Below are 13,211 nucleotides of genomic sequence, written 5' to 3' on the forward strand. Positions count from 1 at the left end.
ATAAGTGTTCGTAAAACACCCTTCCTTCCCCTTCTTCACAGAAGATTGCCTTTTGCTTTCAGGGCAACAGTTCAGAATATTTGAAATCAGAGATGATTGTTAGCCACTATTACCATAGGTTAGTTTTGAGATTTTGAATCTTTGAACATATCTAAAGTATATTTTGTGCTCTGAAGGTAATAATAATGAAACTAAAAGAACAAAATGTATAATTTCAGAGAAAAAATGCATGATGTTTCCTCAAAACTGAACAGAAGTTCTACTCAGCTTGTATTTAAAAATAGACACTTCAGAATATCTGGAATGAATCTAATTCTTCGGTAGCCTGAGGTTGCTTTGCCTTCCAGTATTTACTGTGTCTTTTAGGTGATCTGAAAAGATTCATAGAAGGAGGAAAAATTAGGAGATCTAATTCAGACCTTAGGTGGTATGAGTTTCTTTAGGTACTTGGAAATTAATTTTTCTTTCTGTAAATTACAACGAAACCAAACCTACCAAGAAAGTCCATATAAGGGGAAAAGAAGAGTCTTTTAAGGACTTTGCTGTGGCAGAAGGTTTTTCTTTCCCTGAAACAAGCCCATATCTCATTCCTCAAGAACTGCTGAGCAAAACCATGGGGGTAACTGCCAAAGCCAGATGTCAAAACCTGGTACAACGATTGCTGTCTCTTTGCAAACTTCAGCATCTTGCTGGAGTAATCAATCCCAGATGTCCTGGAACTCTGCTAGTTTTCCGATGTACTCTCCTGCTTCTTACCTCACCTCTTCCGGAAACTCGTTGACTACACTCACTGGACTTTCATTGCTAGGAGCCCGAATTCTTGGCTTTTGAAGCCTCTGCAAAAAAGCTAAAGTAGAAATGGCTCCTTGAAATCAGAGTTAATTTCAAGGTTAAATGATAGTTGCAAGGGCCTCAAATAAAATTTTGGTGTACAGAAAGGGCATACAAAAATCTCAGATTTAAACTTTCAGGTTGGTTAGTCTAACTTTTACCTAAATGTAAAATGTACTTCTTTTGTACATTTCTAGCTCATTTAAGCACTAGAAATACTAGTATGTTTAAGATATAGTCCCTTACGTGAAAACAGACATGTATGACCAGATTACAAGTTAGTCTGTAGTAAGTCTTTAGTAGAAATGTAAAGGAAAAGGGCAAGTAATAAATCATGAGGTTAGAAATGTGGGTGGAAACTCTGCGTAGGTTGGGGGATGGGTTGCAGGTTCTTCGAAGAAAAGTAGCCATTAGCAGGTAGACAAGAAGCTAGAGGAGAGTATTCCAAGTTGCATGAACAGAAGCATAGTGGCGTAGATACCCGATATTGCTGAGGAAAAGCAAGTGGCCTCGAGTGGTTGTAGTTTAAGGTACCTAAGGAGGGACGTGCTGGACATGAGTTTGGAAAGACAGACTGGGGTGAGATTATGGAATTTTTATGTACTGCGCTAAGGCATTTGGGATTTATTTAGTAGACAGAAAGCAACCATCAAAGAGTTTTGGGTAGATATGACATGATCAATTATTAGCTTTAAAACATTAACTCTGACAGCAATGAGAAGGATAGATGGTACCTAGGGAGAAGTGGGGAGAGCAGTTAGGAGGTAGATCTGATAGTCCAAGGGAGAGATGTTTAGACCCTTAATTATCTAAAGCCGTAGTAGGAAGAACGTGTAGAGGACAGATCGAGAAGCTATATGGAGTCTGTATTGACAGACCGTGGGACCAGTCAGATGTGAGGTTTAATAGAGGCAGGAATCAAAGGTAACTTTGAAGTTTCTAGCTTGGGCAACTGGGTGAATGGCAATGCTATTAAATAGTATTGGCAAGAGGAATAATCTTGGAGGATTTCTAGGGCGCCTGAGGGAAGATGGTTTCCACTTTGGATATGTTTGCAATACCCACAATACATTCACCTGGCAATGGCTGTTAAGTTGTTGGCTGTATGGGCCAGGAGCTCAAAGAAATGATTCTGAAGCTAATGGAATGGATAAAATAACCCATGGAATACATACATGTGAAACAAGAAGGCTTAGGAAAGAACTTTGGAGCATGCTTACACTTATTTCAGAGAGAATATAATATGGTGATTTGGTAGCAGAACAGCTGGGGCTCAAATTTGAGCTTTCCCACTTATAGTGAGACTTCCTAAGGCTTACTTTCTTCATCTGTGAAAATGCACAGAAATAGAGCACTTCATTTTAAGTGCTTTACTTAGTGTATGGCACATAGTAAGCTTCTGTGAAATGTTAATTATTGTAATTATCATTATTGTATTATTTAGGGATCACGCAGAAAGAGGAACTGAAAAGGAGTCTCTGAAAAAGTCCTTGAGAATTAGGAGAGTCAGGAAAAAATAGGAAATCAGAGGACAAAGTTTCAATGAAAGAGAGGCCAGTGTCATTGTTACGAAAGACACGAGGAGACACTTCAAAGAGGAAGAAATGCATATGACCAATAAACACACACACACAGATTTCCAATCTCAGGCAGGATTCAAAACATAAAATGCCATTTTTAACCTATCGTTTTTGTGGTAATGAAAAATACAGGCAAGAAAACCCAGCTCTGTCAAAAGTATGGGGAGCTCAGCCTTCTCAATACTCTATTTATATGGGACTGTATCTTGATTGCACCTTTTTGGTGGATATGTTGGGAAAAGTTAATAGAATGTTTAAATGCCTGTAACCTTTGACTCTGAAAGACCACTTCTAAGAATTTGTCTTTTGAAATCCTTACACAAAATATGTATTTATAAATATAAGTATATATACAAATATACACCTATACATACATAAATATATCTTTTAGATTTGTTTATAATAGCAAACAATGGGAAAAAAATGTCTACCAGTAGAAATACTAGTACATTTTTATTGCCATATAATATGGTCATTCAAAGGCATGATGTAGAGCTTTAAGTGTCATGGAAGAATATTCCCATATATACTGTTAGGGCTAAAAATATGAAAAGTACACATTAGTGAGCAATATATATAGCATAACTCATAAGTATATGTAAATATGTAGTTAGTGCAAAGGACAGTAATTATCTCTAGGACAGGATTATGGAGGACTTTCAAATTCTATGTTATGTATTTCTGTGTCATTTTACTTTTTACAATAAATATTGTGATGATAAAAAAGATACATTTTAAGAGTATGGTATATGTGTCAAATATTAAGAGAGTGCCATGTAGTGGTAAGGAATGGACTAGTGCCAGATGGCCTGGGTTATAATCCCAGCTCTGTCTTTAGCTGTGAGATCTTGGACAAATCGCTTTACTTCTCAGTTTCCTCATCCATAAAATGGGGATGATAATAATATAATATCTACTTCATAGGGTTGTTATGAATAAATAAGTTAATGTAAGTAAAACTGCAAAGAAAGGTGCCTGGCACATAGTATGTGCTAATTAGAGATGATGAGAGTGTTAATGATGATGATGATGATGATGATGATGATGATGTTAATGGTGATGATGAAGATGACAATGATTGCAGATGGAAAGGGAAGGATGACTAATCAGAAGCCATTATATTGGCAAATAGAAAATAATCACTGACATCACTGATATTAGCATGAGCTGTATTTGTAGAGAAGACCTTTGAGATTACTGTTTGTCCAGTACCTGATTAAATACCTCCCATAATCAGGAATTTACTCATTATCTCTCAAAATGGCCCCTTCCTTCCATTACTGGACAGTTCTGATTGTTAGAAGAATGTAGTAGTTAAGGTCATAGACTACATTTAAAGTTAGACATATCTGTGTTTGAATCCAGGCTCTACCACTTTCTATGTGCCATTAGGCAAGTTATCTTAAGCCCCACTTTTCTCTAATGAGGATTAGAATAGTATCTATAATGTAGAAACATAATGAAGAGTAAATGAGATTATTTACATAAAGCACTTAGCACAGTATCTGGTATACTGTTAAGTGCTCAATAAATATCAGCCATTTTAACAACTCTACCTAGTCATCAAACTTACTGGATGTATGAAAGCATGAAGTTATCAACTTTATCTTTCTATCTGTCAGATGTCTCTGGAACAGCTGCATACCGAAAAGTTATTTTGATATACCTTTTGATGGGTATAAAGCTGTAGAAACCAACAGAAGGAGCAGGGAGAACCATCCTTTTCTCCTCATAAGAGGGGAGTAAGGAAGGTGCCTCAATGCCTATTAAACTATTAGTGATATTCAGTCCTCTTGGTCATATGAACAAAATGGAACAGCCTCTTTTGGGCTGAGGGGCTGGAGAAGGAAAGTAGGGTGGAGATGGGGATTTGGGAGGTGATTATTTCCAGAGAGAAGTGAGCAAGGAAAAAGAAAGGAGGTGATATGCTGCAGTACATTTTGTATCAGCCAGACCAGTCTTGGGCAAGACCTTAGTGATGAAATGTATGTTCCATAAGCTGGGTTGTTTCCAGGCTGCTGCATTCATCTTCTTTTCCTATTATTTATTAGTAAACATTCCAACACTCCATCTACAAAATTAAGGAGGAAATATCTGGCCAAACCTTGGTATGAGTGAGTGAGGAGCACAATCTGCTCCACCAGAGCCAGGTAGCCAAACAAGGGGCAGCAGCTTTTCCAAATCAGGATTCTAGGACTAGCTGGAGGCATTGGGGCAGGTAGAGAAGTGAAAACTCAGAAGCCTTTAGTTCCCTGCTTGAGGGTCTCTTTTATGGGGAACAAGGGCTGCTAAGCCACAGTGAGCCAGCTCAGTGTACCTTATCTTTAGCAGAGCAGTGGGGAGCTCTGCAATCCCCAGCTACTCTGCCACGCCCACAGAAATGGTCTGATAGGAGAGGATAGCATGGAATAGGGCAGGCAGAGCTTGAGGTTCCAGAGCAAAAGGCTGGGTTTGGTGGAGCTTGATTATTAGTGTTGTCTGCCCTGGGGTACGGGTGGGGGAACAGCTGGACTTCTACCACATACTTGCTGTTCAGGTATAGAGAAAGAGCACTGTACTCTGAGTCAAGGCACCTTGTGTGTGAATCCCAAAAACCATGCGACCTTAAGTCACTTAAACATTGAGTCTCAGTTTCTTCATCTTCATTCATTCCTTTAACAAACATTTTTTGAGCACCTACTAAGTGCCAGGTGCAGTTAGAGCTGCAGGTGGTAATAAAGATAAATAAAACATGGTCATTAATCTTAAGGGGACAACATTCTAGTGTAAGAGAAAACATGAAGAAATAATAACATGAAATTTAAGTTCTGGAATAGCATTCTCAGTGCAATGAAAGGAGAGACAATCTATGAGAATTGGAAAACACTTCATAGAGAGGGTGACATTTGAGCCATTTCTTAAAGGACAAGTAGCAGTTCATCCAGATGGAGAAGAGAAGCCATTCCTGGAAGAAGGAACTCTACATACAAAGGCACAGAAGCATGACAGAGGGCAGTGTATGGAGGAATGGTAAGTACTTTACAGCTGTTGTACAGGGCAGCATGTCCTGAAAGGGGCTGCAAGAAATGCTGATTCCAAGGGATGTGTGCCAGTTCTCTGGGGGAGGAAGAAAGGCTCTGTAGCAGAAAGACAAAAATCATTTAAGGAAAAAAAAAAACAAAAAAAACAGGTTTAAACAAAGTGACACAGGTTACTTTTCTGAAGGGCTTCTCAGGACTTTTAATATACAAAACCTTCGGCTGGGTGCTGTAGCTCATGCTGTAATCCTAGCACTTTCAGAGGCTGAGGCAGGTGGATTGTCTGAGCTCAGGAGTTCGAGACCAGCCTGGGAAACACAGTGAAACCCAGTCTCTACTAAAATACAAAAAATTAGCCGGGCGTGGTAGCATGCGCCTGTAGTCCCAGTTACTCGGGAGGCTGAGGCAGGAGAATTGCTTGACCTGGGAGGTGGAGGTTGCAGTGAGCCGAGATTGTGCCACTGCACTACAGCCTGGGCAACAGAGCAAGACTGTCTCCTAAAGAAAAATAAAAAAAAAATTAAACATTAAAAAAAATACATATATATACAAAACCTTCCTTATTGGCATGTTGGGAACAAATCAGGTTTTTAACATTTTTATTTTTATATTTTAAATTTGTAGTGACGAGGTCTCACTATGTTGCCCAGGCTGGCCTCCAACTCCTTGGCTCAAGTGATCCTCCCGCCTCAGCCTCTCAAAGTCCTGGGATTACAGGCATGAACACACCATACCTGGCTGCAAATCAGTTTTTTAGAAACCATTGTATTTTACATACCTAAAGTCTTTTTGAAATGATCAGTGATTTAAATTTTGGCAAATAAAACCTTGCCCTGTCTTTAGAATCAAAGTAGAGAAACTAAGGTTTGGTTTTGTTGAAAGCAAAGGGTGTAGTGTATACTTGCCCTGAGGGTATACATGAATACTTTTGCAGTTTGGTAAGGAATTTTGGCCCCACTTTAGGACATAAAGTCTTTATGAACTATGATTATCTCATCAACTATTTAATCTGATCATAGAAATATGACTTCAGTGCATCCCTATGAATTAATCTTTTTGATTCATGGTGGTTAAGAGCTGTAGTTCTGGAGACAGGCAAGCCTGAGTTCAAACCCCAGGACTACCACTTTCTAGCTATGGGCAATCCTGGTTTCTTCATCTATAAAATGGGGATGAAGTATAGTACCTATCTCAGTGTTGTTGTGAGAATAAATGAGATAATGCATTATATGTAAAGTGCTTAGCAGAGTGCCTGGCCCCATAGTAATCATGTACTAAGTAACAGCTATTTTTAGTTTTACTGAAAGCTGGTCTTTGACTTTATTACCTTCTACTGGCACCACTGTTGCACGAAGCAAACGGAGATAGGGGCTGAATATTTTGAAAAGCTACTACCAAGCTGATGTGGAAAATATTTTGCTGGTTAACATCTCGAAAAAGATATAGACTTATCAGGTTCTGGAAACACTGTTAGTCTCATAGACAAGCAGTCTGACACAGTCACCTAAACTCAAAGATAATATATACACTATGGAAATCAGTTGTCCTTTCAGGTTTCAGACAAGGGGAATCCTGCCACCTTGTGGTGCGACAGAAGTAGGCCCGAGGCTGATTCCCACTTACTATCCCTAGCAGAGATGCAGCCCTCTTACAGTTCTTTGCCCACCTCTGAATTTATGAGACCCCTGGGCAACTAACTTAATCTGTGCCTATTTCTTCAGCTAATTTGGAATCTCATTATCTCCTGGTTTACTGCAAAGGAAGTTAAAGTGCCAGATAGCTTTCTATATTTTATACAGTCCAGTAATAGAGAATGAGCCTGTCTTTAGTGCAACTTGCATAGAAACCCCAAGTTCATAAAATTTTGTATTTCATATTCTACAGAACAAATATTCTTTTCAAGTAAAAAAAGGGCTATGAAAACCACTTTTTTCAGGCTTGAGGTAGAAATAGGAGGTGACTAAAGAACACTTAATAGTAACTGTGTTTCTGGAGCAGTCTTTTGGATCATAATACATCAAATTCCTGCTCAGCTCCTTCAGTAATGGGAAATCAGAGGACAGACATCTCAACGGCTAGAAACAAGCAAGAGAGATCTTTCACAGGGCCTCGGGCTGTAAGTCTCCGAGCTCGTGAGAAGAAACCACTTGAAAATCATCAACTATATAAAAGGCCCTAAATTAGATAAGTTTTCCACCTGGGATTTAAACAATCCAGGTGGCTCAAATATCCCTGGTTTGCCATCTGAATCAAGGGAAGAGCTCCCTGCTGTTTAGGAAGAAAACCCGAGACTCTAGTAAGATTTTAGAGGCCTATTAGAAGAGCCAGCATTTTGAGAGTATAGTCATGTGGTGGAATAATGGTGACACAGTCGCCTCAGGCTAAGTTCAGCCTTTGGCTCAGGTAAGGCAATGAGATCTGCTGCTGGGGGAGGCAGGGCCAGTTATGGAGGAAGAGAAGGCAAGAACCAAGAAAAATGCTCAAATGGTTTTCTCCTTTCCTCTAGGTCTTCTGTTATCAAATTGAAAACCTCTATACAGGATAGCCAACAATAAAGACAACCTTGTTGATGATAAAAATTCTCGACCACAAAATGTTTCTCAACACTGATAGCAGTGGCAGATCTAAAACAACGGTTTTTTATTAAGGACTCTGGGAAAAAAAGGTCCACTTAGCAGCAGCATTCCAGGTGAAATACCCAAGAGCCATTAGAAACTAGGATCCTGGCTGGGCGCGGTGGCTCATGCCTATAATCCCAGCACTTTGGGAGGCCGAGGCAGGCCAATCATGAAGTCAGGAGATTGAGACCATCCTGGTCAACACGGTGAAACCCCATCTCTACTAAAAATACAAAAAAAATTAGCTGGGCGTGGTGACACATGCCTGTAAACCTAGCTACTCGGGAGGCTGAGGCAGAAGAATCACTTGAACCGGGGTCGGAGGTTGCAGTGAACTGGGATCATGCCACTGCACTCCAGCCTGGCGACAGATAGAGACTGCGTCTCAAAAAAAACAAACAAAAAACAAACAAACAAACCCAACTAGGATCCTGATCTATGACTTGGGGGAAAGAAATCTTTTAGTCACATGCTTTAAGTTAGTTTTTTGTGTCACTGGAACTCCATTACCTTCCATTTCCCTTTTTCTAACTCTATTCCTTTCAGTTCTGACTTTTTAAAAAATTCTGCGATACCTAAGGAGTTTATTGGTGAACACTTTCATGTACTACAGTTGACCACTGAACAATGCAGGGGCTAGGGCTGCCAATGCCTTGTGCAGTCAAAAATCTTTGTATAACTTTGGATTCCCCCAAAACTTAACTGCTAATAGCCTACTGTTAACTGGGAGCCTTACTGATAAGCTTAACAGTTGATTAACACATATTTTGTATGTTATATGTATAGTATATAATATATTCTTACAATAAGTAAACTAGAGAAAGGCAAAGGTTATTAAGAAAATGATAAGGGGCCAAGTGTGGTGGCTCATTGCCTGTAATCCTAGCACTCTGGGAGGCAGAGGAAGGCAGACTGCTTGAGCCCAGGAGGTCGAGGCTGCAGTGAGCTGAGATTGTGCCACTGCACTCCAGCCTGGATGAGAAAGTGAGACCCTGTTCAAAAAAAAAAAAGAAAGAAAATAAGGAAATACATTTACATTACTGTATTTATTGATTCCGTTAAGTTTACATTGTCTGTTTACAGAAAGAATCCTGGGACTGAAATGAGGGGCATCCACAGCCACAGACCTCAATCTTTGATACATATCAAGCAATTCAGCTTTTTCTTGTAATGTCATGACTTCTACTTCTTGAGAACACTTCCAGCATCACTAGTGGCACTTCATATGGGTCCCATGGTATTATATGAGGTTTATGGTGCACTAAACATGATGAAAAATACTTAAGAATCTCGAGAGAGTACTTTTTTCTGCCACATGAAATTTACTGGAGAGTTGAACTGCTCATGCAGAGATGATTAGCATCACATAGCGTTTTGAGTGGATATTCACAACATCTGCGCGCACTGCCGCAGCAGTAGGAGGCAGCTACAAAATGATTGCAGTACAGTACGTACTCCAGTTGGTTTTATGTGGCTATGATTTAACCTTGCATCTTTACATTTGTTTACATTTCTCTGGACTGTGAATGGCACCATGTACTGTATATGTGTGTAAATTTTGAGAAAATTTAGCTTTTTATAATAGATTTGTGCATATTTTGTAGTAGCAAATGATAAAATAGACTAGTATATACATATATTTTATGCATTCATACCTTTTAAAATGTTTAAAAATATTTCTAGGCAACGCAGTTTGTGTTTTTTCAAATTGTCAAAAAACTCCAAAAAAAAAAACTTCCAATGTATTTATTGAAAAAAATCTGTGTATAAGTGGATTTACACAGTTCAAACCCATGTTGTTCAAGGGTCAACTGTATTTGGAGGTGTTTTTAGTCATAGCCTGTTTGAGGTCACCAAAACTGCCTTGGGAGGAATAGTTTGAACCTTCTGAAACACTTACCCTGATCTGATTTACTGAACTCGTCATAACATGTTCAAAGTCAGAAAGGACCATTTTATTTTATAAAGAAACTGGGGACGGCCGGGCATGGTGGCTCAAGCCTGTAATCCCAGCACTTTGGGAGGCCGAGGCAGGCGGATCATCTGAGGTCAGGAGTTTGAGACCAGCCTGACCAACATGGAGAAACCCTGTCTCTACTAAAAATACAGAATTAGCTGGGTGTGGTGGCGCATGCCTGTAATCCCAGCTACTCGGGAGGCTGGGGCAGGAGAATTGCTTGAACCTGGGAGGTGGAGGTTGCGGTGAGCTGAGATCATGCAATTGCACTCCAGCTTGGGCAACAAGAGCAAAACTCCATCTCAAAAACAAAAACAAAACAACAACAAAAGAAACTAGGGACAAGAGAGTGATTTGTTCAAGGTCAGCTTGGTAATTATAAAGCAGACTTCCTGGATCACAGATGATTACTCTTTCCATCCCACTCTGCTGCCTCCACCAAACTGGATTAAAAAGGCTTGTTTTAGGAACAGAATACTCACTGTGGTTGTTTATGAAGAAAATCCTTAGACTCTGAGCAAGTGTATATCTAGCGAAAGAATTTGCAATCTTGAATAATATTCCTTACTTTCTTGTGAATTTAGCGACAGAGAAATCTCATTTGGGTTTGCACTATAAATAACTTTAATTTTTCTCTCTTCATCTTTTCCCAGTTGTCTAACTTGATTTAATACAGCTCAAATGGCCGGGCGCGGTGGCTTAAGCCTGTAATCCCAGCACTTTGGGAGGCTGAGGCAGGGGGATCACCTGAGGTCACGAGTTCCAAGACCAGCCTGGCCAACACGGCTCTCTACCAAAAATACAAAAATTAGCTGGGCATGGTGGTGGGTGCCTGTAATCCCAGGTGCTTGGGAGGCTGAGACAGGAGAATCACTTGAACCTGGGAGGTGGAGGTTGCAGTGAGCCAAGATTGTGCCATTGCAGTCCAGACTGGGTGACAAGAGCAAAACTCCCTCTAAAAAATAAATTAATAATAATACAGCTCAAAGACCCTGTGTCTTTGGGGATCCAAGTGTATCACTATCAACATCTATATCAACGCACTCAGTGCTTACAGAACCACATTTTGGTTCTTCATTCAGGAAATTATTTCAGTCATTTGTTCAGCCTGTAAAATCTAAGAATCAACCAGTACCCAAGGTATAGTGAGTTGTGTTCTGCTGTGGCAGAAGCACACATATACTAACTAAGCCAAAGCCTTGTCCACTGACTGGTAGGCCTTCTCCTGGCAGTTGCCGACTAACTCCCAGGATGCTTTAGGGTTGGCACTCAGGATCAAGGTCCCACATTGCAGACCTGGCTGAAAGCAGCTATATATTCCATTGCCCTTCTCTGTGGTGCTTATTAACTGGTCACTTGGCCTATCATTGTTCATTTTAGCCCTTTCTGGAGATGGGGCTGCTGTTCTTCCCCAGAATATTCTGAATTGATTACAGTAGCATCAGAAGAGTTGCTTCCATTTTCACATACGTAGTTGAAAATAGCTCTTCAACAATGACTGACATTAAAAAAAAAAAAATACCAGAAAGAAATGGCCATTCAGACTCCATTTTGGGTGGCACCAAAATTTATAAAATGTTACTATTTTGCAATCCTAAGATCTCCAAACTGACAAACCTATATCAATAAACAGTAGCATAACACTGTGAAATAAAATTTTATGGTGTACCTGTTCCTGCATTTGGATTGTTTTTAATGTTTAAAGTTTTTCTTTATTGTCAGTGTAAGGTTGCCATTGTCTGAGGTTTTGATATTAAAATGTTTTATAAAATGGTGGTGATACTGAATCATATAATTTTAACATCCTTATACCTAGTAAAATAAGTTGGCACCTATGTTGGTCCCCAAAGTTTTTCCCAAAGGCATTTTTAGAGCAGTTTTAGGTTCATAAAAAAAATTAAGGGAAAGCTAGAGATTTCCCATTTACCCCCTACCTGCACACATGCCTAGCTTCTCCCTTATCAACATCTCCCACCAGAGCGGTACATTTGTGACAACTGATGAACCCACACTGACACAGCATTATTACCCAAGTCCATAGTTTACATGAGGGTTCACTCTTGGTGGTATACATTCTGTGGGTTTGGAAAAATTATAATGACATATATCCACCATTATAGTATCATACATATTAGTTTCACTGCCCTAAAAATCCTCTGTGCTCTGCCCAAAAGTTTTAAAATTTTACTATTTTGGTGAAATCCCAAAGTCTTAACAAGCCACATTAGAAATATAAAGTTGCATTCTCACTGCAAAACCACAGAAGCTACTTTCTAAATTCAACCAATCTGGATAACCCAATCCAATCAAACACCTGACATTTCTAACAGATCTGAGCTAACATACAGAGCTCTTACAATTCTTCTGAATTAGCTAACAAGCACTGACATTTTTGAGGTGGATGAGGATTAGCTATTTTCCAACAATCTCTGTACCAAGTTAGAAAAAAAAATAATTCAAGCCCAGATCAAGCTGTCTCACATACAGATTTCAATAAATATTGTTATTTTTATTTTATTTTTTGTTGAGACAGGGTCCCACTCTCCTGCCAGACTGGAGTGCAGTGGCATGACCATAGCTCACTGCAGCCTTGAACTCCTGGGCTCAAGCAATCCTCCCGCCTTAGCCTCTGGAGTAGCTGGGACTACATGCATACTCCACACCTGGCTAATTAAAAAAAAAAAATTTTTTTTAGAGATGGAGTCTTGCTATGTTGGCCAGACTAGTCTCAAAACTCCTGGGCTAAAATGGTCCTCCTGCCTCGGCCTCCCAAAGTGCTGGGACTACAGGTGAGAGCCACCACACCTAGCTCAATAAACATTTTTTAGCAAGCAAACAAAAAAGTTTATGTAAACGGCTGGGTGTGGTGGCTCACACCTGTAATCCCAGCACTTTGGGAGGCTGAGGCAGGAGGATCACAAGGTCAAAAGATCGAGACCATCCTGGCCAACATGGTGAAACCCCATCTCTACTAAAAATACAATTATTAGCTCGATGTGGTGGCATGCACCTGTAGTCCCAACTACTCGGGAGGCTGAGGCAGGAGAACCGCTTGAACCTGGGAGGTGGAGGTTGCAGTGAACTGAGATCGCACCACTGCACTCCAGCCTGGCAACAGAGTGGGACTCCATCTCAAAAAAAAAAAAAAAAGTTTATGTAACCTGTTCTGTATGTTCAATGACGTACTACCTGCTGATTTGGTAAGTTC

General features: G+C 39.9%; 1 protein-coding gene across 16 annotated transcripts in view; it reads left to right on the forward strand.

The window, feature by feature from the left end:
- Positions 1-13,211, forward strand: part of TTC23L (tetratricopeptide repeat domain 23 like) — an 86,519-nt gene that overhangs the window by 52,292 nt on the left and 21,016 nt on the right. For 9 of the 16 annotated variants that reach the window (XM_017009120.3, NM_144725.4, XM_011513984.4 and 6 more), the window contains 2 exons: positions 5,315-5,420; positions 7,935-9,056. The exons of 3 other annotated variants lie outside the window; for them this stretch is intronic. In XM_017009120.3, the coding sequence (XP_016864609.1) occupies positions 5,315-5,396 (82 nt within the window). In that variant the 3' untranslated portion in view covers positions 5,397-5,420; positions 7,935-9,056. Of the gene's footprint in view, positions 1-5,314; positions 11,678-13,211 lie in introns of those variants that run through there. 4 more of the 16 variants (NR_169874.1, NM_001386172.1, XM_047416824.1 and 1 more) reach the window with 3 other exon arrangements.

Source organism: Homo sapiens, chromosome 5, assembly GCF_000001405.40.
Source record: "Homo sapiens chromosome 5, GRCh38.p14 Primary Assembly".
NCBI classification, from domain to species: Eukaryota; Metazoa; Chordata; class Mammalia; order Primates; family Hominidae; genus Homo; species Homo sapiens.